Source organism: Homo sapiens, chromosome 16 (genome assembly GCF_000001405.40).
Source record: "Homo sapiens chromosome 16, GRCh38.p14 Primary Assembly".
NCBI classification, from domain to species: Eukaryota; Metazoa; Chordata; class Mammalia; order Primates; family Hominidae; genus Homo; species Homo sapiens.
Genome location: NC_000016.10, coordinates 69,942,212 through 69,966,859, shown reverse-complemented (window position 1 = coordinate 69,966,859; position 24,648 = coordinate 69,942,212). Strand labels below are relative to the sequence as shown.

At 54.5% G+C, this 24,648-nt stretch overlaps 1 protein-coding gene across 13 annotated transcripts, besides 3 other annotated features; it reads right to left on the bottom strand.

The window, feature by feature from the left end:
- Nucleotides 1-236: 236 nt before the first annotated feature.
- On the bottom strand, nucleotides 237-23,341 carry CLEC18A (C-type lectin domain family 18 member A). Of its 13 annotated transcripts, XM_047434062.1 has the most exons (15): nucleotides 22,890-23,341; nucleotides 19,462-19,597; nucleotides 18,352-18,451; nucleotides 15,370-15,599; nucleotides 14,734-14,825; nucleotides 12,287-12,526; nucleotides 7,821-7,918; nucleotides 7,279-7,400; nucleotides 7,014-7,121; nucleotides 6,395-6,487; nucleotides 5,909-6,015; nucleotides 5,145-5,274; nucleotides 4,776-4,872; nucleotides 3,793-3,884; nucleotides 2,874-3,286 (listed from the first exon to the last, which is right to left on the bottom strand). In XM_047434062.1, exons 4-15 carry the CDS (start codon nucleotides 15,491-15,493, stop codon nucleotides 3,249-3,251), a joined length of 1,341 nt encoding a protein of 446 aa, XP_047290018.1. In that variant the 5' UTR covers nucleotides 15,494-15,599; nucleotides 18,352-18,451; nucleotides 19,462-19,597; nucleotides 22,890-23,341; the 3' UTR covers nucleotides 2,874-3,248. The 13 variants fall into 13 exon arrangements, with proteins under 13 accessions (XP_047290015.1, XP_047290016.1, XP_047290014.1 ...); XM_047434059.1 differs by lacking the exons at nucleotides 2,874-3,286; nucleotides 22,890-23,341 and adding an exon at nucleotides 237-931 and having other exon boundaries at nucleotides 19,462-20,020; XM_047434060.1 differs by lacking the exons at nucleotides 2,874-3,286; nucleotides 19,462-19,597; nucleotides 22,890-23,341 and adding an exon at nucleotides 237-931 and having other exon boundaries at nucleotides 18,352-18,630.
- Nucleotides 13,753-14,366: an enhancer, noted in NCBI's record as "H3K27ac-H3K4me1 hESC enhancer chr16:69986397-69987010 (GRCh37/hg19 assembly coordinates)". NCBI's record gives its function as "activates a minimal SCP1, AML or CMV promoter by ChIP-STARR-seq in naive H9 embryonic stem cells {active_cell/tissue: H9 hESC(naive)}" and the evidence as "EXISTENCE:reporter gene assay evidence [ECO:0000049][PMID:30033119]".
- Nucleotides 15,593-16,205: an enhancer, noted in NCBI's record as "H3K4me1 hESC enhancer chr16:69984558-69985170 (GRCh37/hg19 assembly coordinates)". NCBI's record gives its function as "activates a minimal SCP1, AML or CMV promoter by ChIP-STARR-seq in naive H9 embryonic stem cells {active_cell/tissue: H9 hESC(naive)}" and the evidence as "EXISTENCE:reporter gene assay evidence [ECO:0000049][PMID:30033119]".
- Nucleotides 16,206-16,819: an enhancer, noted in NCBI's record as "H3K4me1 hESC enhancer chr16:69983944-69984557 (GRCh37/hg19 assembly coordinates)". NCBI's record gives its function as "activates a minimal SCP1, AML or CMV promoter by ChIP-STARR-seq in naive H9 embryonic stem cells {active_cell/tissue: H9 hESC(naive)}" and the evidence as "EXISTENCE:reporter gene assay evidence [ECO:0000049][PMID:30033119]".
- Nucleotides 23,342-24,648: the final 1,307 nt, after the last annotated feature.

Below are 24,648 nucleotides of genomic sequence, written 5' to 3'. Positions count from 1 at the left end.
TTAAAAGTACAAAAAAAAAAAAAGCCGGCATGGTGGTGGGCACCTGTAGTCCCAGCCACTCGAAAGCTGAGGCAGGAGAATCACTTGAACCCAGGAGACGGAGATTGCAGTGAGCCGAGATCACGCCACTGCACTCCAGCCTGAGCAAGAGCAAGACTCCCTCTCAAAAAAAAAAAAAAGGTAAGGAAATAAAACAATGGCTACTCCATAGAGCAGCCCCGAGGGCTGCTGGTTGCTCATTTTTATGGTTATTTATTGATTATATGCTAAAGAAGGGGTGGATTATTCATGCCTCCCATTTTTAGACCATATAGGGTAACATTCTGGCGTTGCCATGGCATTTGTAAGCTGTCTTGGCGCTGGTGGGAGTGTAGCAGTGAGGACGACCAGAGGTCATTCGCATCACCATCTTGGTTTTGGTGGGTTTTGGCCGCGGCTTCTTTACTGCTTGTGCCGGCCTCTCATCTCATCCTGTGACTTAGAATGCCTCAACCGCCTGGGAACACAGCCCAGTAGGTCTCAGCCTCATTTTACCCAGCGCCTACTCAAGATGGAGTTGCTCTGGTTCAAAGGCCTCTAACAGAAGCTAAACACAAGTGGGGGCTTTCAAAGAAGCAGATCCAATGTCCACTGCCCTTCCTCACTCCCCTAATAGATGTAGGGCACCATGGACTTTTACAGACTGAGGGACATACTCTGGATGAGAATAGTTTACCCTATCAAGGAAAAGTAAGTTCCCCAGATGAAACGCCACAGATAACAGGCATACTGTAAGTCAGGCTTTGTACGTTTTCCAAAACTCACTACAGGGATCCCCTTTGAGGTGCAGAATCTTGTATCACAATAATCACGATTCCTTTGCCAAGGCCTTTTGATGTCATGGTCCGTGTTTTTCTCCGGATCGTTGGGCATGCGGAGGCAGAAGGAGAGCCTGGTAGAGTGAATGACAAACGCAAGGGAGGCTGCAGAGGGGAGGGAGTGAGGGCGGCCCAGGGCCCAGCCCGGCGGGAGCCGAGGAAGAGAAGGACCAGCCAGCCAAGGGCGGGCGGCTTCAGAGGAGGCCCGGGACTCCCCAGTTTCCCAGCCTCTTCCACCCCACGCGGATCCCTGCCCCGACGCTGATTCAGGGGGTCAAAGCCTCGGGCGGGGCGGACCGCGGCGGTGACTGGAGGCGCCCCAGTTTCTCTGGGTGTGGCCTGCGGACCCCCTCGGGAGCAGGTCGTCCCGCACCAGTGTCTGCCCCCGGCCCCCAGGGACACCTGCACCCGCCCCACTCACGACGGCGCGTCAGGTCCCCAACCAGGCGTGGGGCGGGGTGGGAAGGTCTCGGCTCGGCCGCCCCGCCTGTGCTGTCCCCACCGCCCCCCGGCCTCGGGCAGCGCGCGCCCGGGTCACCCACCTCCCGCGGGCATGCGCAGGGCGGCCCCTCCGGGCGCTGCGGCCGTGGCCCCGGACAAGGGGCGGGTCCCGGGTCCGGGAGGAAGAGGCGCGGCTGCTGGCTGACCCGGGAACCAGACCGAGCCGGAGAGCGGGCCCTCCCGTCTCCCACCGGGCAGGAAGGCCTGGCGCTCGCAGGCGACCTTGCGCCAGTGCCCGGGCAGGGATCAGGGGGCTCAGCGCCTTCGCGGGAGGTAGAGAGAGCTGGGGGCATCTGTGTGATCACCCCGCGTAGGTCCGCGCTGAGCCAGGACACAGGACAACTGCCCGCGCCCGGTTAGACAGGCGAAGCCATGGGAAGCAGTGGGAGAGGGAAAGACTGGGCCGGCGCCGGGCCTCATGCCTGTAACCCCAGCACTTTGGGAGGCCCAGGATGGCGGATCGCTTGAGCACGGGAGTTCGAGACCAGCCTGAGCAACATGGTGCAACCCCGTCCCTACAAAAAACACAAAAAATAGCGGGGCGTGGTGGTGCGGACCTGTGGTTGCAGCTACTTGGGTGGCTGAGGCAGGAGGATCGCTTGAGCCTGGGAGTTCGAGGCTGCAGTGAAGCCCGATTGCACCCCTGCACTCCAGCCTGTACGACAAAGCGAGACTCTGTCTCAAAAAAGAAAAAAATAGGGCCGGGCGCGGTGGCTCACGCCTGTCATCCCAGCACTTTGGGAGGCCGAGGCGGGTGGATCACGAGGTCGGGAGATCGATACCATCCTGGGTAACACGGTGAAACCCCGTCTCTACTAAAAATACAAAAAACAAATTAGCCGGGCGTGGTGGCGGGCGTCTGTAGTCCCAGCTACTCGGGAGGCTGAGGCAGGACAATGGCGTGAACCTGGGAGGCGGAGCTTGCAGTGAGCGGAGATCGTGCCACTGCACTCCAGCCTGGGCGACAGAGCGAGACTCCGTCTCAAAAAAAAAAAGAAAAGAAAAGAAAAGAAAAGAAAAAAAAATAAATAAATGACAGCCAGACTCACTGGGTTTGACTCCCAGCTGTATGATCTTATGCAAGTTACTCAATCTCTCTGCCTTCATTTCTTCTGCTGTAAACTGGGATAGTGATAACCCCTTGTGGGTGATGTCTGAGGAGCTGGGTGAGGGAGCGGGACTGCACAGGCTCTGACTACCATTGGCCCTGGTGCGATGACACTCCGCCGGTGGGGGCAACACACACGCGTCGTCTCCCAGACATTCAGAGCAACTTCTATTAATACCCTGCCTGCCTGGGCCCCAGCCATGAGAACAGCTCCTCACTGAGGCAGAGTCTGGTCTTCCTCTTCTTGGGGAGACCCAGAACTTCCAGAGAGTGTCCTGGACCATGAAGGTGACCAGGAAAGGGAATAGGTGGGTGGAGGCCGCTGCAGTGAAGCCTCAGGCCCCCTCTGGTCTCTCCAGGGTCATCCTGGATCATCTGAATTTCCCTTTGAAATGAGCATGCACAGGTTCAGCTGATTCATAATTTAATACCCTGTGGGGTTCATGCCACAGGGAAGCTCCGCTGCCCCACAGGGTCTGGGCCAGGTGGAAGAGAGCAGCCTTTTTGGACCACTGGCGGTGTCCTCTCCTTCGCCATCTAATTGAAGCCCATCTTCCCAATCAAAAGCAGGCGAAGGGCCCCAGCTTCTTCTAACACTCACTCCCTGGCCCTCACTGGCCTCCCTGCCTCTCTCTGCCCAACTTCTGGCATTGTGCAAGGTCTGAGACCTCTTTGGACATGAGGCATGTGATCTTAACCTGGCCCTTGTTCCAGACAGGTGGGCAGACAGGTAAGCAGAGCCGGTGCTCCCAGGGCAGGCGAGGGAGCCATGTGGTCAGGCCTCAGGACCCTGGGCCCCACCGGGAGATGTGCTCCTGGGCTGGAAGGAAGCAGAAGAGAGCAGGGCTCGATGGCAGCCCAGGCAGTCCCAAGATGGCAGCCCTGCTGCACTCGGTCTGGAAGTGCCCATGGCCGTGGTCCCTGTGGCGCTCCAGGCCTTCCTAGCAGAGGCTGCTGGGAGCTGGTGCCATGCTAGGTTTCACCTCCGCCTCCACCACAGTTCATGGGGCTCCCGGGAACACCAAGGAACCCAACAGGTTCCCAGGAAGCAGCTTTCATGACAGGAGAGGGTCCTTGGAGAAATCCCCTGCAGAGCTGTAGCTCTAGTCCTTCCTGCGTGGCCTTGCTGTATGAAGCTGGGCCCGTCGTTGCCCCTCTGGGCTCAGGAGCCCACAGGTACAAGGCCATCAACAGGGCATCCTCTATGGCCCCGTGTGCCCAGACCCACTCTGAACCTGCCACCTAGATACCCTTGCAGGCTGGACCGGGTCAGCAGCACCCCCAGGGTCAGGGATCAGAGAAGGGGAGCCTCAGGAAGTCCCTCACCAAACTGGCAGATGTAACGGTTTCGGGTTTTGCAGCGCTGGTCGTTCCAGTTGAAGGCAGCTGAAGCCTGCAGCTCCACGCAGTTGCCAAACCTGCAGGCCATGGTGTGGTGGTCAGGAGGCAAGAGTGAAGTCAGGGACCGGGAGAGGCCTAAGCCCTCCACCCATCAGGACCCTGCATCTCAGGGGCTCCAGTGCCCCCACCTGCCGACGGGGCTGCCGGGAGCCAGGCCCGTCCCCAAGCCCCCAGCCCTGCTCCACTTCTCAGGGAAGCCCCTTCCTGGGGTAACAGCTCTGCCTACCCCATGGCAGCACTCAGCCACACCAGCCTGTGGGGATGGTGGGGACTGGAATAGACAGCCCACTTGAGAGGTACACCTGGGAACCCAACAAGGCCCAGACTTCCTCCAGGCAAGAGGCCAGGGGCACAGGCCGGCTGTTGGCAAGGAGGGCTGGCTGAAATCGCTGGAGCCCTTGGTGGCCTCGCAGCCGGACCACCTCCACCCTGGCCCTGGGCATTGCTGGGCTTTGAAGAGCAGGGTGGGGCCACGTGACCAGAGGGTTCTTGCTACAGGATGGCTGGTGGGTCTGCAGGTGCAGGGTTGTATTGTGAATGAGTGCAGGTGGGTGACAGCTAAGGAATGCTGGCATCAGTGTAACTGATGCAGGCAGAGGGCATGCAGACGGAGGGGTGAGTGGATGAGAATTGGAGGGATGGAGTCACACCAGGGGACACTGGGGATGGACAGATGGATGGAGGCTTCCTGGGTCCCTCTCTCCCCCACGTGACGTGCCTTCCGGCTTGCATCTCCCTCACCCCACCACCGGCCCACACCAGCTGTGCCCACAACTCTCTGGCACCTGGGCAGGCACCAGGGAAGGATCAGACCCTCAAAGGGCCCAGCCAGGCAGCGGGATGGGGGGCTCCACCAGGCAGGCCCAAGTGAGAAGGAGGCCCAGGGGAGGGAGGCACCCCACACTTACCCGTGGTTGTCAGGCTGCCCAAAGGCAAAACTGGTGAAGGCCTGGTGCTCCCCTGTGGCCCAGCGGAAGGAGTCCTTGGCGGTCTTGTAGGTGAGCCCTGGGCCGGGGTAGTCAAGGTTGGCCCACTCAGACCCTGGAGTCTGCTGCCAGCTGCCTTTCTGGCCCCTCTTCCCAGCGCTGGCAGCCCCCATGTGCTCCCTACCTGGGCCCTTCCCGGGAAAGGGGGTGAGCAGCTGGCCCCGCTCTGGGCTCCAGGCCCTCAACACACCCTTGCCATCTGCTGGCAGCCGCCATGGCCCAGGGTTCCTGCAGCAGGGTGGGGCATCACAACCCCTTACTCGCCATACCCCCAATCAGCTGGGCACTCACCGATCCAGAAGTTCCTGGTCTCGAAGTCACTGTCAATCACCTCGTTGGTGGTCTCCAGGCGGCCCAGATAGAAGGCGAGGATGTCCTGCACTTTCTGGCTCTTGATCTGGGCCAGCACCCCGCCTTTCCTCTGTAACCCCACCCTGGGTCACACAGGCAAGGCTCCCAGAGCCCAGGCTGCCCCTTCCTGCCACCCCTGCCCATGGCCTAAGATGCCACGTGTGTGTGCTGGCCGGGCTATCATCACCCCCAGCCCGCACAGCCTCCCTTCCAAGAGCAGGGGTCCCTTCTGCTCCCGTCTGCTTCTCTTCTCCCTGTGCACGGGGGCGCGACCAGCAGCCCACAAGCCCAGGCAAGGTCTGGCCCCTGAGGAGGTTCTGTTTCACCTGCACAGTGTCTTAAATATATCCAAGTTGATTGCCAACCCCAGTAATTAATTGTGGTTTCGAGAGTTGCCAGTGGAAGTCTGGGTTGCTGGTTTTCTTGAACAACCCCGAGCTCTGGCCACCCTGACCTTGCATTCCTGCAAGGCAACCAGTGGCTGGAACTCCCTTAGATGGAGGTTGGTCTTGACCTTGGCCCCTCAGGTCAATAAGTGACCTCCTGGCTTCTATGAGCCTTGGAGTCCACGACCCCTGCTTTATGCTGATGAATAGGGTGAGGTCAGAGACGTGGAAGGAACCACCTCTCACTCCAGGGTCCCTGCATTAAGACCCTCACTTGAGGCCCTAGGGGGTTCCTAGGAAGCTAGGGGTGACTGTCACCTGACATTTCATCCTGGCTCTGTAATAGGTGTCTGCCTCTGAAGACACCATGAAGCAGTCTCCGTCGATCCTCAGGTCACAGGTGTGGAAGGGAAAATGCACCTTGGCTGGGGTAGGGGAGCCTGAGTTTGTGTGTGGACTTCAGAATCCCTGCCCTTTCCTGCCCTGCCGGGGAGCTAAGCTCAGGGTGCCCCTTCCTCTGGCCACCTGCTCCAAAAGAGTGGGTGGTGAGGGTCAGGAGCGAGCTGGTAAGTTGGAATATTGAGCTTGCTCTCTCTCAAAAGAAAAAAAAAAATCCATGGTTTATAGCATTTGCCAATTTCTTTGGTGTAAATATCCATGCTGTGGCCAGTTTCAAGATCTCAACGTGTTGTCACTGAATGAGTTGGAAAGAGAGGCACACAGCGGGCTCCTGGGAGCTGATGCCCCATTGAAGGGGGGTCTTGAGAGGAGCTGGCTCTTTGGGGGCCCTGGGGCAGGACTCACTGGCACACTGGGCTCCCCCGTAGCCGATGTCACAGACGCACGAGCACTCCTCCTCCCGGAACCGGCCGTGCACACACTGCAGGCTGCACCTCACTGCCAGGGCAGGGCAGTGGGGCAGAGGCTCAGCCCCCAGCCTTCTGGACCCCACGCTGCCCCCCAGAGGCCTCGAACATCCAGGGAATGCCAACCACAGCAAGAATACCCCTCCCATAGACAGAACCCACCAAGGCTTCCGATTGCTGGCACGCCTGGTGTCTTTGGTTTGGTCCCCATTGCAGAGTGAGGCATATTGGAGTTTGGGAGGTGACCTGCCCATGGTCACAGAGTGGGTTAGGGTAGAGGGGCAGTAGGGCAAGAATCCACTTCTGGGTCCTAATTCTGTCCTCCTCCCAGAGCCTAAGGGGCTGAACCTGATTTCACTTTGAATCTCCTGCACAGCTCAGGGTCTGGCAAACAGCTAGTGCTCAGTGAATGCTTGTTGAAAGAATGTATGCAGTGGGCAGACTCAGGGAGTACACAGTCAGCACCTCTGACACCCTTGAGACTCTCAGGAAGTGTAGCAGCCCTAGGACCTGCCACGAGAGCAGGGCTGGGCACACCCAGGCTCCAGTGCCCTCACCTTGGCAGTATCTGCCCGTGTAGCCAGGGGGACAGTGGCAGTGGCAGGTGCTGATGTTGAGACGTCCATGGTTCTGGCAGCTCATGCGACAAGGATTCCTGGGGACCTCTGGTCAGAGGAGGAGGGGACTCTGAGAAAAGGGTCTCCTCCCAGCAGGCCGGGCAGGAGCCTCCCTGGGTGCTAAGGGCCAGGGCTTCTGGGACAGCCCAGTAGGATGCTACCACCCCCACCCCAGGGTCACCAGACTGAGCCCTCATGCACTCACCACAGAGCCCCCCTGCATGGTCCCAGGCTTTGAAGCAGCCTGAGACACTGGCTGTGCAGAGCGAACACCAGGCACCCTTCTTATAGGGGACGATTGTCTTCCCGTTGACCTCCCAGTTGCCTCTGTGAGGACGAGCAGGCACCACAGGGTGTGGGAGGGCCTGGCCTTGGGCAAGGCAGAGGCAGGGCCCTGCTGCCTGCCCCCCTGGCCCCTTCAGCTCCTGCGGCCAGGCCAGGGAGTCAGGGAGCTGGGTGAGATAGGGAGATTCCCTGGGAGAGAAGAGATGGCCTCCAAACCAATCCTGGACAAACTCCCTGATACCAGGACCAGTATCCAGGAAGGGACATCCGCAGAGCAGCACCTTCTGCGTGGCCAGAATCTTTAGCACCCTCTGCCTTTCCTCTCCTCCCCTCTCCCACCAAGGGTGCAGAGCAAGGCATCAGGGACTCTACTTTCGGGTGGATGTGTGGGAATCTCACCCTCGGTGAAAGCACCCCTCCCTGTCTCCCAGACATCCCAGCAGAGGGTGTAGCAGGGCTTACCTGGGGGAGTAGGCACAGACAAAGGCTTCTATCGCTGCCTGGCCTGCAGAGCACAGGTGCCGCCCACAGCCCAGCTGGCTTGAGGTGGCCCACACGAGCTACAGGAGACACAGGGGATCAGAAACCCTATTGTGAACCACCCCTGGGGAGGGGGACACAGCTTTCGCTATCATCCAGGTGAACAGAGGGCTCCCTTACCTCCTCGAGGGCTCAGGAGCAGCAGCTGTCCTGGGCAGGGGTAGAAGCATGGGTGGGAATAGTTCAGGAAGGCTTATTTATTTATTTATTTATTTATTTATTTATTTTTGAGATGGAGTTTTGCTCTTGTTGCCCAGGCTGGAGTGCAATGGCCTGATCTTGGCTCACCACAACCTCTACCTCCTGGGTTCATGTGATTCTCCTGCCTCAGCCTCCCGAGTAGCTAGGATTACAGGCCCGGTTAATTTTTTTGTATTTTTAGTAGCGACAGGGCTTCTCCATGTTGGTCAGGCTGGTCTTGAACTCCCAACCTCAGGTGAACTGCTTGCCTCGGCCTCCCAAAGTGCTGGGATTATAGGTGTGAGCCACCGTGCCCGGCCTAGGAAGGCTTTCTTAGTTGAGAGGGGGATGGAGAGGGGAGGTACCTGAAATGAGGGGAGATTGTTGATGGGTGGAGGGGAGTAGCCAAAAAAAGACTGGAACATCAAGGGCCTTGTGACTGCATGGTGACCACAACCATTCATTTCTTGCACCAGGCCACTCCTTTAAATGTGACTCTGCAGCTTTTTGCAGCAAAGAGAGGTGTCTCTTTCCTTGCTCCTTGAATCTGGCTGGCTCTGTAACTGGTTTGGCCACCAGAATGCCACAGAAGTGATACTGAGCCGATTTTGAACCTAGGCCTTAAGAGACCTTGCCATTTCCACTCATTCTCATAGAACCATGCTCAGTCACCACATGAACAAACTCAGTATAGGAGTTTGGAAGGCCTCATGGAACAGAGATGAACCATTAGAGGCCTTTTTGCACAGCCAGCTCCCAGCCGGCCCCCTAGTTGATTGCAGGTGTATGAGTGGGCCCAGCCAAGACCAGAAAACCTCCCTGCTGAGCCCAACCCAAGTGGCTGACCTGCAGAATCGTAAGCTGCTAAATTTTGGGGTAGTATGTCATGCAATAAAACCTAATGGATACAGGTCTGCAAACCAGTTTAAAGTCTTAGAATCAGCAACAGCTTGGAAATAGCACAAATGGGCAATATATAAGAAGAGTGAAACAAACTCTCCAGTAGAGACTAAAAATGACATGTACAAGACTGGCTTGTAGCAGGCAGATGTGAACATGTGATCATATACATGTATCCAACACTTAAAGAATATGTATCGTTTTTAGGAATGCATGGGACTTTTGCAAACCAGAAAGGAGGACCATACATTAGACCACTAAGCAAGTTTCAACAAATAGCAAAGAATCAGCACATCCTACAGGCCACATTCTATGAATTCAATGCAATGAAATTTAAAGTAAATAATTTACAAGTAAATAGAGAAGATAACATAGTTTAGAAACTTAAAGATACACTTCAAAATCTAAAACAACATCATGGCCAGGTGTGGTGGTTCACATCTGTAATCCCAGCACTTTGGGAGGCTGAGTTGGGTGGCTCATGTGAGTTCAGAAGTTCAAGATCAGCCTGGCCAACATGGCAAAACCCCATCTCTATTACAAATACAAAAAATTAGCCAGGCATGGTGGCACACACCTGTAGTCCCAGCTACTCCGGACCTGAGGTGAGAAGATCACCTGAGCCCAGGAAAATGAGGCTGCAGTGAGCTGAGATTGCACCACTGCACTCCAGCCTGGGCGACAGAGCCAGACCATGTCTCAAAACAAACAAAAACAACATCATGATTGGAAATAGAAAAAACATCAAAACTTATTGGATGCAGCTGAAATCGTTTAAAGGGAAATTTATAGCTTTAAATGTATATAGTAGAAACAAAAAAAGATTTAAAATGAATGATCTAAACATTCACATCAAGAAAATTAGAAACAATAATAGAGGCTGGGCGTGGTGGCTCAAGCCTGTAATCCCAACAGTTTGGGAGGCCGAGGCAGGTGGATTACCTGACGTCCGGAGTACTAAAAATACAAAAATTAGCCAGGTGTGGTGGCAGGCGCCTGTAATCCCAGCTACTCAGGAGGCTGACGCAGGAGAATCTCTTGAACTGGGGAGGCGGAGGTTGTAGTGAGCTGTGATCGCACCACTGCACTCTGGCCTGGGCAACAGAGCAAGACTCTGAATCGAAAAAACAAAAACAAAAACAAAACAAACAAAAAACAACCACCAACAACAAAACAGAGTTAGGTTTTTCACACCTTTGAGTCTGACAAAACTTAAGGAGCCAAGGCTGGGCACAGTGGCTCACACCTGTAATCCCAGCACTCTGGGAGGCCAAGGCAGGCGGATCATGAGGTCAGGAGATCAAGACCACCCTGGCTAATACGGTGAAACCCTGTCTCTACTAAACAAAATACAAAAAAATAGCCGGGTGTGGTGGCGTGTGCCTGCAGTCCCAGCTACTAGGGAGGCTGAGGCAGGAGAATGGTGTGAACCCAGGAGGCGGAGCTTGCAGTGAGCCGAGATCGCGCCACTGCACAGTAGCCTGCGCGACAGAGCAAGACTCCGTCTCAAAAAAAAAAAAAAATTAAGGAGCCAGAAGATCTTCGGGAAGTGGGAACTGGTTTGCTGGTCTGCACAGTTGGCGTAAGCACTTTGGCAGCACCTAGTTGTAGGGGCACATGTTCTTCTTTTTACTGAGCCAGGGTTTTACTCCTGCTGCCCAGGCTGGAGTGCAATGGCGCAGTCTCAGCTCACTGCAATCTCCACCTCCCAGGCTCCAGCAATTCTCCTACCTCAGCCTCCCAAGTAGCTGGAACTACAGGCGCACACCATCACACCTGGGTAATTTATGTATTTTTTTGTAGAGGCAGGTTTTTGCCATGTGGCCCAGGCTGATCTCGAACTCCCGGGCTCAGGCAATCCTGCCACCTTGGCCTCCCAAAGTGCTGGGATTACGGGCGTGAGCCACCGCACCCAGCCTTGTGTAATATTTAAACATGCACAACCCACTTGCACAGGTAGTAGAGGTATTAAATATTTCCTGGGATTTTGCTTGTGTTTTTCAGTGCATCTGAAGAGCGCCAGGTGTGTGTAGAAGACCCTCAACAAATATTCGTTGAATGAAGAGAAAAAATGGAAACTTGCTTGGCAGTGATATCAGCTCCTGAACTTTGGGAAGATTCCCTCCAGGGAGGGACAGCGGGAAAAGGGGAGGAGCAGGGCTTTAGTTTAGTAGCATCTTCTAAACCTAGGTAGTGGGTAAGAGTGGGGCCGTTTTAAATTTACGTTTGAGGCTGGGTGCGGTGTCTCACACGCGTAATCCCAGCACTTTGGGAGGCCCAGGCAGGTGGATCACTTGAGGTCAGGAGTTTGAGACCCAGCCTGGCCAGCATGGTGAAACCCTATCTCTACTAAAAATACAAAAATTAGTGGGGTGTGGTGGCTCGTGCCTGTAGTCCCAGCTACTTGGGAGGCTGAGGCAGGACAGTCACTTGAATCTGGGAGGCAGAGGTTCTAGTGAACCGAGATCAAGCCATTGCACTCCATCCTGGGTGACAGAACAAGACTTTGTCTCAAATAAATAAATAAATACGTTTATGTTTGAAATTATTTATATTTCAGATTGAAAAAAAGTGGCTTAGGCCAGGCATGGTGGCTCACGCCTGTAATCCCAGCACTTTGGGAGGCTGAGGCAGGCAGATCATTTGAGGTCAGGAGTTCGAGACCAGCCTGACCAACATGGTGAAACCCTGTCTCTACTAAAAATACAAAAAAATGAGCTGGGTGTAGTGGCGCACACCTGTAATCCCAGCTACTTGTGAGGCTGAGGCACAAGAATCGCTTGAATCTAGGAGACGGAGGTTGCAGTGAGCTGAGATCACACCACTGCACTCCAGCCTGGGGTGACAGAGTGAGACCATGTCTCCAAAAAAAGAAAAAATGTGGCGGGGCACAGTGGCTCATGCCTGTAATCCCAGCACTTTGGGAGGCTGAGGTGGGTGGATCACTTGAGGCCAGGAGTTCAAGACCAACCTGGCCAACATGGTAAAACCCCATCTCTACTAAAAGTATAAAGCCATTAGCCAGGCCTGGTGGCACATGCCTGTAGTCCCAGCTAGTCAGGAGGCTGAAGTACAAGAATCACTTGAGCCCAGGAGGCGGAGGTTGCAGTGAGCCGAGATCACGCCACTGCACTCTAGCCTGGGCAACAGAGCAAGACTCCGTATCAAAAAAAAAAAAAAGTAAAACTAAACCAATTGGAGGAAAAGGAATCCCAACATTTAGGACAAACTGTAGCCTCTTCTGAGATGGCCCAGTGGAAGTCTGTATCTGGGAGCTGGCACACTGGCCTCACCTGCAGCACACTCACCTGCGTGTAGTGGGTGCAGGTGGCGTTGCGAGCACACTCTCCTGCCGCGTGGCTGTACCGCTGCCCCTCTGCAAACCATAGGCTGACCACTTCGACAAAGGACACCAAGCCCGCGGGTAGCAGCTGCATGTTCCAGCCCACTTGCAGGGTGCGCCACAGGCCGGACGCCAGGCTCGGGGTTGGGGTTCCACAGAGGGCTGCCCTGGCTTGAGCCAGCTGGGCCAGGCTGTCACTCCAGTCCTGGGGGCAGCACAAACAGACATCTGTGGGAGGCCTTTGACTGCTGGGCCAGGCCTCAAAGATTCAACTCCCCTGCCATCTCTGAGCATCCACCGGGTGCCAGGTCAGGTGGCAAAGAGAGCACTGGATGAGGAGTCCTGCTGGAGGAAGCACTGGTGTTGTCTGATGTCCCTCCAGGAGGAGCCCAGCTCCTCTCACGACTGAGCCTCCATCTCCAAATCCTGTCGTGGGCATCCTTCGGCCCTGCCCAGGCAATGGGACCCGCTCCTGCTGTCTTTCTCCCATCTGGTCATGTGAGCAGTGCCCACGCGTTGCAGACTGGTTCTGTGTTTGGGCCCTGGCCATTGTCAGAAAGGCTCCACTGCTCCCACCCGGCCATGCTGCCCTCCTGTGATGCAAAAAGCCCTACAGCCACGCCTCTCTGCCCTAGTCTCCTGCCCCCAGGAGCCCGGCCTCATATGCTCCCCACCACGCACAGCTGACCCCGCCCCCTCCCTCTTCTTTTTTTTTTTTTTTTTTTTGAGACAGTCTCACCCTGTCGCCCAGGCTGGAGTGCAGTGGAGAAATCCCGGCTTACTGCAACCTCCGCCTCCCAGGTTCAAGCAATTCTCCTGCCTCAGCCTCCCAAGCAGCTGGGATTACAGCCATGTGACACCACGCCTGGCTAATTTTTGTATTTTTAGTAGAGACGGGGTTTCACTGTTGGCCATTGCTGGTCTCAAACTGCTGACCTTAGGTGATCTGCTTGTGTCAGCCTCCCAGAGTGCTGGGATTACAGGTGTGAGCCACCGTGCCCAGCCCCCTCCCTCTTCTTAAACAAGTGGGCCTGGCAATCACCACCCCTGGGTGACTTGGTGCAGTCCCCTGATCTCCCGAGACTCCCTGAGCTCATCTGTAAACGGAGCAGGGAGGTGCCTGCAGGATAGGACTCACAAGCACTGAGTGGATGCAGGGAGGGGGGCCCCTCGGGGCTGCACCCCAAGCCAACTTCATCCTGCACTAATGTCCATCGGGGTTTTACCTCTGATGAAGGCTGGGGCCAGGAGCTGGGGGCTCCCCGGGGTCCCTCAGCAGCCCTCCACCCCCACAAGACCTTCAGTCTCCACTGTGTCCAAAGAGGGGGTGCCCTGGAGCCCTAGAGGCCCGGAGGGTGCTCGGGGCCGGGCCACGAGGGAGGCTGAGCCATGGAGCTCCATTTGCACCTTTACGGAAATGAAGTTTTCTAGGACTTTGACAAAAGGGCCCTGGAAAGGGTGCCAGCTGCCAGCCAACGACCACCGCAGCCCCTCCTGGGGTCCCAGGCAGGAGTACCCAACCACGGAGGTCACAGCTGGGAGCACCCCTGGTTGCCCAGGGTCTGAGCCTGAGGAGAGGCAGAGCCACTCAGGGCTGGGAATCGGGGAGAAGCGACCCCCCGCATTTAGCCACCCCACCCCCACCTCCTGGGAAACTGACCCTAGAGTGCTCAAGGTCGCCACTGTGGCCGCCTGCCTTGGAGGAGTTCATGGGAAGCAGCCATGGGGAACCCTCCCGCCCCCACCACCCTGCCCTGGCTCCCTGGCCTGCTAACATGGGCTGGGGCTGCTGGGGTCCCAGACAAGGGGGGGCAGCGTTTCTGAGCCTCCAGATGACAGTCCCAACCCCGCAGCCCCAGCCGGGCTGGTGGGGAATTCTATACCCCCGACCCCCGGCCCCTGCTGAAAATGTGGAAAATGTGGACGAGTGAGTGAGCAGAGAACATGGGCAAGGCCCGTCCTCGTGGCTCAGATAAGCTCAGGAGGAGGCGCTGGGTCCTTGCCGCACAGAAGCCCCTCCCCAGCCCAGCACGACCTTCTCCCTCCCTGGCCCGGCCGCCCATCCTGCAGGGCTCCTCGTGAAGCTCCCCTTCCCTGGAGGAGGGGATCCGGCTCCTCCTGTGGCTCCTGGTCTCTGTGACAACAAGATGCCAGGGAAGGCCCAAGGTCCTGCCCTTCAGGCGAGTGGGAGCCAAGGGGCCCGACCTCCTGAACTGAGGGTGGGGGGTTAAGAAATTGCAGAGACCCCCAGCAACCAGGGCCTCCGTCCCTCAGGGACAAGGTGGCTGGCTGTGCCTGCCCACCCTGGTCAAGTGGAAGGGCACCTGGACAGGCGTGGCCTCCTGAGCCGCCCTCTGGGGTCCGCGCCTCCGGCCACCCCCCTGGCAGAGCCCAGCTGGGTCGGGTACTCACCAGCCTCCGCATGTCAGCCGCAGGGGGCTGGACCCAGCTGCGCAGGCGGTTGTGCAGGGAGAGGAGCAAGAAACTCTCCTTCCTGTTCAGGGCTGGGGTGGGGAGAGAAGGTCAGGCAGCCCGAGGATGGGGGGACCTGAACCCAACACACGGCAGAATAAGCATGTGTCCCTGCCCTTGGAAAACAAGATGGGAGAGGAGTGTGGTGGGTGCAGGGGACGTGGGGCATAGCAATGGAGCGAGGCTGAGAGAGAGACCAGGTACAGCAGGCGTGGGCTGAGTGCTGGGGTTGGGGTGGCGGGAGGGAACAGCGGTGCGGGCTGGGTGTAGGGGCCAGCCCTGGCTCCCGCAGGCCCCTGTCTGGGGCTCCTCCGGGCCACGGATTTCTCCAGGCCCCAGCCACAGCGCCCCTCGGCGTTCCTCCTTGACCCCAGCCCTGGTCCTCCTTCCTCCTCCTTCCTCCCCAGTCCAGCATCCACCCCTCACCGCCCCCGGGCTGTCCCAGGGCTTCCTCATTAAACCACCCGCACGGCCTGGGGCTCAGGCCTGGGACCGGGCTTCCAGAAGTCTCCTAGCACCCACTCCTCAGAGCTCGTAATGGTGCCTCCACCTACCTCCTCACCAGGTGTCCCTTACCTCCGGCCATCGGAGCCTGCTCCTGCAGCTGGGGTGGCCACACCTCTGCCCAGGCGGTGCCAAGGAGGGCCAGGAGCACAGCCAGGAGATGCCCCCGGCCAGGGGAGGTCTCTGGATGCAGCATGGGTCTGTTGGGCCCGTCAGGCGCTCCGTGCACAGCCTGGCTCAGCCACCCGGCTTGTTTCTCAGGCTGGATGGAGCTATTCACAATCTCCAGGAGTCAGGCTGGGCTGGTGGACAAAAGAGGGAGGCTGGTGAGTGAGTAATCAGTGTGTCCAGACAGCCTCCTGTTGGCGCTGGCATGAAAAGAGACAACTCCGGGGGATGCCTGCCTGCTCCGGCCTCGGCCTGGCCAGCCCGCCCCCGACAGCAGGCAGAGTGGCGTGCACTGACCCGCGGCCCCTGCTAATCATTGTGGGATTATTAGCACCCTTGGGGAGCCCCCAGAGACCCCGCTGATTGGCCCGCGGACATTCCAGTGCTGCAGATTAGTGACCGATGGCCGTGTCCTGGCTGGGACAGTGTCCTCCGAGCCCACTGATGGCTTCCGCTCCCCAGCCCCGGGCCCTGGGAGGAGGACCTCGGCTATGGTCCTTCTGGTGAGCAGGAACTGGGCAAGACCCCAGGGGAGTTCTTTCCTTTCTTGGGAAGCTCGTCCCAACCCCCCAGCCATGAATTAAACATAGGCAAGAGGTAACCGCACACCAGAGGGGTGCAATCTGTGGGCTCAAAGGGGGGTGGGCTGAGGCCGCACCTGCACGAGGAAAAGGGTGCCTTAGGAAAGTCTGTCTGGGCAGGGTCGGGGGCTGGGCCCAGCCCCGGTGCCCACCACCCTCACCCACGTGACTACAGGCCAGGGGGGGAGTGAGGCAGGAGGAGTCAAAGCAGGCGGGGACCAGAGCACGTGATGCCCTGGGCTGACTCCAGTCCTGCTGGGATCACGTCCGCCTCTAGAAAAACAGGCGGCGTAGCAGGTGGGCAGCACGTTGCCATGATGTGCCGTGGCCCGGCCGTGGCTGGCGTGATCCCACCAGAGTGAGCTGGAGCAGATCTGCACCATGGGCCAAGTTTCTCAGAAAATACATGGCTTCCTGCGGGCTGCAACCTAATGCCCACGTTCCTCTCGGGGAAGACCAAAGGTTATTCAACCAGGGCAAAGGACAGCCTTGCAAACCAACTACGTCCTCCTTCTGGAGTTTGTGTGACCCCTGGCCCCTGAGCCCACACCCTCTCGGAGCGGGGTTCCAACTCTGTGGAAGCTCTGCTGAGATGCAGGTAGGGTTGGCTTTCCTGGGGAAACACCAGTGGAATGTGGCTATCGTCATGGATGCCAGGGATGGGGATGAGGCCAGGCATACAGGCCATGAAGGCGGTCTGGAACTGCATGTCCCCCACAATACCTAGGGGCTCAGGAGTTTCTTCTCCCTCAAACAGAAACCCAGCACCCTCAGGGTCACTGCGTGTGGGTCCTAGCAATGCTTAATAGCTACCTGTTTTTTGATGTATTTTTATTTTTATTTTTTAGACAGTTTCACTCTGCCACTCAGGTTGGAGTGTTATAATCTCAGCTCACTGCAGCCTTGACCTCTTGGGCCCAAGTGATCCTCCCACCTCAGCCTCCCAAGGAGCTGGGACCAGGTGTGTGCCACCATGCCTGGCTAATTATTATCATTTTTTTTGGTAGAGACAGGATTTCATCGTCTTGCCCAGGCTGGTCTCCAACTCCTGGGCTCAAGGGATCTTCCCACCTTGGCCTCCCAAAGTGCTGGGGTTGCAGGCATGAGCCACCACACCTGGCCAAGCCACCTGTGTTTATGGAGCTCACAAAGCCTGTTTGCATGTGTGAGTTCAAGTTATTGCCACAAGAACCTGGTGCAGTAGCAGATGGGATGCCCGTCGTGTAGATGAGGAAACGGGCTTAGTGTGTCTAAGGGGCTTGTCCAAGGTCACTCAGCGAGTGCATGGAGCATCCCAGCTAATCCAAGGTCTCTGCCTTCCCATTCCCAACGCTTTAATTCACATCCTGATCTTTCCCAGTGCAGTTTCCACAGCTCTGCTATGCCGGGTGATAAAAGACCCACTTCCTACAATTGGGCTTCCATGGCAAACACGGCCAGTTGACCCATATAGTATGATGCCAGGCACTTGGGACAGGCGGGAGAAAAAGATATTTTGGGGATTAGGGTGGAGCAACTTTTGAAGGGTCCCATGGCCCTGGCTCACTGCAAGAAGAGTCCCAGGCCGGGTGTGATGGCTCATGCCTGTAATCCCAGAACTTTGGGAGGCCAAGGCAGGCGGATCACTTGAGGTCAGGAGCTCGAGACCAGCCTGGCCAACATGGTGAAATCCTGTCTCTACTAAAAATACAAAAATTAGCTGGGCAGGGTGGTGGGTGCCTGTAGTCCCAGCTACTCGGTAGGCTGAGGCAGGAGAATTGCTTGAATCTGGGAGGCGGAGGTTGCAGTGAAGCAAGATGGCACCACTGCACTCCATCCTGGGCAACAGAGCAAGACTCTGTCCCACCCCCGACCCCTCAAAAAAAAAAAAAAAGAGTCCCAGGAGAGCAAGGTTCATGGGCCAGAAGAGAAGCTGAGTGGATAAAAGATTAATGAGACACTGGAAGACCTAGGCTGGAACCGACACGCTGTGTGACCCTGAGGATGGCACTCCCACTCCTGAAACTCAGTATCCAATGGCGTAGAGCTGGGATGACCCCTCTGCTGGGCCCCTAACCAGGGCATTGCAACTTGGTTTCCATGGTACTCCCTCCTGGGTTCAGACTTTTTAGTGGAGCCTGCTCGGTGGCTGGGGTGGGTTTGGAGAATGGGCAGCCTCATTGTTGCAAGGCAGCTTTCCCCAGGTGAGGCTACTACAGGGTTTACATCCACCACCCAGATTGTAGGGTTCACATTTTGCTGTATTTTCTTTATCACCTGTGTCTCTATCTATCCCACCCCTCTCCAGCTCATGCATAGCTGATACCTCTTCTCCCAGTCTGCATTTGAAGGTTATAGCGTTCGAGTCATTTTATCTCTTCCTGAAGCAGCTCCTTTCTTTAAAGCCTTGAAATCTTGTTGATGGTCTCAAAAAACAAACAAACAAACAAACAAAAAAAACATTTAACTCTAGGAGAGTTGTGGCCACATTTTCTTTTAAAAATTACATGTCCAGGCCAGGCGTAGTAGCTCACTCACACCTATAATCCCAGCACTTTGGGAGGCCAAGCTGGGTGGACTGCTTGATCTCAGGAGTTTGAGACCTGCCTGGGCAGCATGGTGAAACCCCGTCTCTAAAAAAAATACAAAAAATTAGCTGGGCGTGGTAGCACGTGTCCATAGTCCCACCTACCTGGGAGGCTGAGGTGGGAGGATAGCCTGAGCCAGGGAGGTCAAGGCTGCAGTGAGCTGTAATCGTGCCACTACACACCAGCCTGGGTAACAGACCAAGATTCTGTCTCAAGAAAAAAAAAAAAATTAGGCCAGGTGCAGTGGCTCATGCCTGTAGTACCAGCACTTTGGGAGGCTGAGGTGGGCGGATCGCCTGAGGTCAGGAGTTTGAGACCAGCCTGGCCAACATGGCAAAATCCCGTCTCTACTAAAAATACAAAAATTAGCTGGGTATGGTGGCACACACCTGTAATCCCAGCTACTTGGGAGGCTGAGGCATGAGAATCACTTGAGCCCAGGAGACAGAGGTTGCAGTGAGCTGAGATCACACCACTGCACTCCAGCCTGGGCAACAGAATGAGACTCTGTCTAAAAAAAAATCATGTCTATTTGATTTTTAAATTTTTCTTGAGACGAAGTCTGGCTCTGTTGCCCAGCTGGAATGCAGTGGCACAATTTTGGTTCACTGTGACCTCTGCTCCTGGGGCTTTGACCTCCACATCCCAGGCTCAAGCCATCCTCCTACCTCAAGCTCCTGAGTAGCTGGACTGTGGGTGTGCGCCACCATGCCAGGTAATTTTTGTATTTTTAGTAGAGATGGGCCTTCCCCATGTTGCCCAGGCTGGTCTCAAAGCTCAAGTCATCTGCTGGGATTATAGGCATGAGCCACCACAACCAGCCCCAAATTAGTATGTTGAAGTCCTACCTCCATTACCTCCGTGTCACTGTATTTAGAGATAGGGTCTTTAAAGAGGTAATTAAAGTTAAATGAGGTCACTGGGGTGGGTCCTGATCCAGTCTGACTGGCCTCGTTATAAGAAGAGACACACAGAGGGAAGATCCTGTGAAGACATAGGGAGAAGGCGGCTGTAGACAAGCCAAGGAAAGAGGTCCTCAGAGGGAACCAACCCCCCGGCACCTTGATCCTGGCCTTTATGCCTCCAGAACTCTGAGAAAATACATTCTGTTTTTTAAGCCACCCAGTGTGTGGTACCTTGTATGGCAGTCCTAGCAAACGAATACAGCCCTTACGCAAAACGTACAGCTAATATCACACTTAACAGTGAGACCAAAGACTTTCCTCCCTAAGATCAAAACAAGGCAAGGATGTCTTTTCTCACTGGTCCCACTAAACATTGTACTACTGAATGCGCAATTTGTGCAATAAGTTAAGAAAAAGACATTAAAGGCATCCACACTGAAAAGAAAGAAGTAAAACTATCTTCATTTGCAGATGACATAATTCTACTGTAGAAAATCCGAAGGAATGTATAAAAAAAAAAAAAACCCTACTAGAATAAAGGTCTCAGAATACAAAATTAACATACCAAAATCCACTGCATTTCTACACATTGGCAATAAACAATCTGAAAATGAAATTGAGGAAACAGTTCCACACATGGCCAGGCACAGTGGCTGACACCTGTAATCCCAGCACTTTCCGAGACCGAGGCAGATGGATTGCTTGAGGTCAGGAGTTCAAGACCAGCCTGGCCAACATGGTGAAACCTCATCTCTACTAAAAATACAAAAAATTAGCCAGGCGTGGTGGTGGGCAACTGTAATCCCAGCTACTCTACTCAGGAGGCTGAGGCAGGAGAATTGCTTGAACCCGGGAGGCGGAGGTTACAGTGAGCCGAGATTGCGCCACTGCACTCCAGACTAGGCGACAGAGTGACTCATTCTCAAAAAAAAAAAAAAAAAAAAAAAAATCCATACACATAAAACTGTAAAACAACATTGCTGAGAGAAACTAAAGATCTAAAAAAATGCATAGACATTTCACATTCATGGAATAGAAGACTCAATATTGTTTTATTGTTTGTTTTTTGAGACTGAGTCTTGCTCTGTCGTCCAGGCTGGAGTGCAGTGGCCTGATCTCTTCCTACTGCAACCTCCGCCTCCTGGGTTCACGTGATTCTCCTGCCTCAGCCTCCCATGTAGCTGAGATTACAAGCACCTGCCACCATGTCCAGCTAATTTCTTTTTTTTTCTTTTCTTTTTTTTTTTTTGAGACAGAGTCTCACTCTGTCACTGAGGCTGGAGTGCAGTGGCGCGATCTGGGCTCACTGCAACTTCCACCCCTTCGGTTTAAGTGATTCTCCTGCCTCAGCCTCCCAAGTAGCTTGGATCACAGGCGCCCGCCACCACACCCGGCTAATTTTTGTATTTTTAGTAGAGACATGGTTTCACCATGTTGGCCAGGCAGGTCTTGAACTCCTGACCTCAAGTGAGCCACCCACCTTGGCCTCCCAAAGTGCTGAAATTACAGGCATGAGCCACTGCACCTGGCCAATTTTTGTATTTTTAGTAGAGACAGATTTCACCATGTTGGCCAGGGGAAGACTCAATATTGTTAAGATAGATGGTAATTCTCCCCAAATTTGTCTATTAATTCAATGCAATGCCCATCAAACTTCCAAAAGATTTTTGTTGTTGTTGTGTTTATTTTAAAGCAATTGAGAGGCCAGGTTTGGTGGCATGTGCCTGTAATCCCAGCTATTTGGGAGACTGAGGCAAGAGGATCCCTTGAGCCCTGGAGTTTGAGACCAGCCTGGGCAATATAGCAAGATCCATCTCAAAAAAAATTTGAAAACTGGATCTCAAAATTTGCACGGAAAGGCAAAGGAATTAGAATAACCAAAACACATTTGAAAAAGAATAAAACTGGAGAATGTATACTACCTGATTTCAAAACTTGCTATGAAACTTCTAGTAATCACATCTATAAGATACGGAAAAAGGACAAGACATATAGATCAAGGGAACAGAATGAACAATACAGGAAAAAACTTACATTTATGGCCAATTTATTTTATTTGAGGGTCTCACTTTGTCACCCAGGCTGGAGTGCAGTGGTACCATAATTGCTGAGTAGCCTCGAATTCCTGGGCTCAAGCCATCCTCATGCCTCAGCCTCCTGAGCAGGTAGGACGATAGGCACGTGCCACCATACCCAGCTACTTTTTTTTTTTTTTTCCAGACAGGGTCTCACTCTGTCACCCAGGCTGGAGTACAGTGGTGTGCTCACGGCTCCGGGGTTCAGGTGATCCTCCCACCTCAGCGTCCCAGGTAGTTGGGACTATGGGCATGCACCACCATGCCCGGCTAATTTTTTGTATTTTTGGTAGAGACGGGGTCTTGCCATGTTGTCTAGGCTGGTCTAAAACTCCTGGGCTCAAGCGATCCTCCTGCCTTGGCCTCCCAAAGCGCTGGCATTACAGTTGTGAGCCACCGCGCCCGGCCCTATTCTTTTTTTTCTTTTTTTTGAGACGGAGTATCGCTCTGTCGCCCAGGCTGGAGTGCAGTGGCGCCATCTCAGCTCACTGCAAGCTCCGCCTCCCGGGTTTACACCATTCTCCTGCCTCAGCTTCCCGAGTAGCCGGGACTACAGGCACCCACCACCACACCCGGCTAACTTTTTGTATCTTTAGTAGAGATGGGGTTTCACTGTGTGAGCCAGGATGGTCTTGATCTGACCTTGTGATCCACCTGCCTTGGCCTCCCAAAGTGCTGGGATTACAATCATGAGCCACCGTGCCTGGCCCTTCTTTTTCTTTTTTTTAGATAGGGGTCTCACTCTGTTGCCCAGGCTGGAGTGCAGTGGCTATTCATAGGTGCAATCATAGTGCACTGCAATCTCCAACTCCTGGTCAGCCGCTACTTCTTAAAATGTTTCTCTGTCTGGTTCATGTTTCAAAGTCTGGTTCATGACTCTGCTACACTTCAGTTTCAAAAGCTGGTAGCAAAGGAAAAGAACATGCCAAGAGCTGACGTTCTGCTGTGATGAGACCACCCAAGCTCCCCGTATCTATACCAAGGGATCTGTTGCCCAGGCTGGAGTGCAGTGGTGCGGTTTTGGCTCACTGCAACCTCTGCCTCCCGGGTTCAAGCGATTCTCCTGCTTCAGCCTCTCAAGTAGCTGGGATTATAGATATGCACTACCACACCCGGCTAATTTTTGTATTTTTAGTAGAGATGGCGTTTCACCATGTTGGCCAGACTGGTTTTGAACTCCTGACCTCAAGTGATCTGCCCGCCTTGGCCTTCCAAAGTGCTGGGATTAGAGGCATGAGCCACCACACCCGGCCCGGATGACTTACTTAGCTCTTCAAGGCTTACGGAAGTTGGTACCTTGTGGAACTAGGCTGGGGAGGTCTGGATGCCAGATGTTCTTCTGAGGTTGCTGTTCTTATAATTGCTGTATTCAAATATATCACCCAGTTGAGATGAAATGCCTAGAGCACAGCTGCGGAGTGGGACCAGCTGGGCTGAGGAGGGAATGAAGTACAAACATCCAGCGATGTTCAGGGCCCTGAAGCAGCTGGGAAGCGCAGGCGTTCAAATCACCAGAGGCATGGCTATATCAGCTCACATATCATGCACACAGATGCATGTCCTAGGCGTGGAAACAAAGCTCCCCAGACCATGGTTAACTCACCGCATGCACCTGGAGTTCCATCTGCACCAAGGCGCCAGTGGTTACTTTTAGAAATAAACAAGTCACAACGAGGACATTATGTTAAGTGGAATAAACCAGTCACGAAACGACAAGTACTATATGATTCCACTCGTAAGGAGGTAGTTAAGAGGAGTCACAATCAAAGGGACAGAAAGGAGAATGGTGGTTGCCACGGGCTGCAGGGAAGAGGAATGCGGGGAAGAGGAATGCGGGGAAGAGGAATGCGGGGAAGAGGAATGCGGGGTCAGAGTTTCCATTCTGCAAGACGAAAAGAGTTCTGGAGATGGATGATGGTGATGGATACACAACGTTATGAATGTATTTAATACCACTGAATTGTGCACTTAAAAATGATTAAGATAGCAATTTGTGTATTTTACCACAATAAAAAACAAAACAAAAACAGCCAGGCATGCAGTGGCTCATGCCTGTGATCCCAGCACTTTGGGAAGCCGAGGCGGGAGGATCAACTGAGGTCAGTAGTTTGAGACCAGCCTGGCCAACATGGCGAAACCCTATGTCTACTAAAAATCCCCAAAGTGCTGGGATTACAGATGTGAGCCACCACACCTGTCCCCGCTGGGATTTTTAAAGTATATCTGGAAAGATCCAAAAGAAGCCAGCAGCGATGGTTGCCTCCTGGAAGGCATCAGGGTGGCCAAGGGACAGAAGAGTAAGGGAAGCCTTACACAGCAGCTCCTTTGCATCTTTCAACTGAACCTTCACCAAATTTTTAAAGAAAAATAAAGGTGCATGATCAACAATCAAACTTCTAGGACCGTCCCCTAGCAGGAGAGCAGCAGCAGCAGCAGCACACAGACCTGCCCGAGGGCGTTTCCCGGAGCTCCACAGCCACCAGCAAACTGTGGGACACAACTGCCACCTCCTTTAGGAAGGAGGTGAGCATATTACAGAACTGCAATCATACAGAATATCACACTGTGGCTAAAGAGTTAAGCAGTGTCTACTTCGATGAACATGGAAAGGGGTCCATAGCATCTCATTTAATGAAAAAAGTGAGTTGCGCAGTGTGTACAATATTCCATTTTTGGTATATTTAAAAATCGTATGTGTAAACGATTTGCCCACCCGCACAGAAGCGTCTGGAAATGCCACCGCCAACTGTGAATAGTAGGTCCCTCTGGGGACAAGGGTTGGGGGAACGATTTCCACTGGGGCATGTCTTATTGAATTTATCATGAGACATCTGGACCTTTTCCAGTAATTTTGTCCAAGTACAGCCTTGGCCTGTTGCCTGAAAATAAGGTTTTGGAGCTGGAGGCAGTGAGTCCAGCTGACGAACCCAGGAGGGAGCTCGCTCTGAACAGGTCTGCCCCGCTGAGCATCGGAGGCACAGTCGGGGCCCTGCTTGGTCCATGACAAAGTCACTTCCTTGTCAAATGCATCAAGACCCGCCAGCATGGTGATCTG

Bases quoted from the DNA above. Each gene is read 5' to 3' on its own strand.
- CLEC18A (XM_047434059.1), bottom strand. From the start codon at position 15,493: ATGCTGCATCCAGAGACCTCCCCTGGCCGGGGGCATCTCCTGGCTGTG. The intron at 7,401-7,820 runs GTAAGCCCTGCT...TCGTCCTCACAG, and splicing joins GTCTGTGCCTACTCCCCCAG to AGGCAACTGGGAGGTCAACG. The intron at 6,016-6,394 runs GTGAGTCCTGCC...CCCCTACCCCAG, and splicing joins CGGGGGAGCCCAGTGTGCCA to CCAAGGTGCATTTTCCCTTC.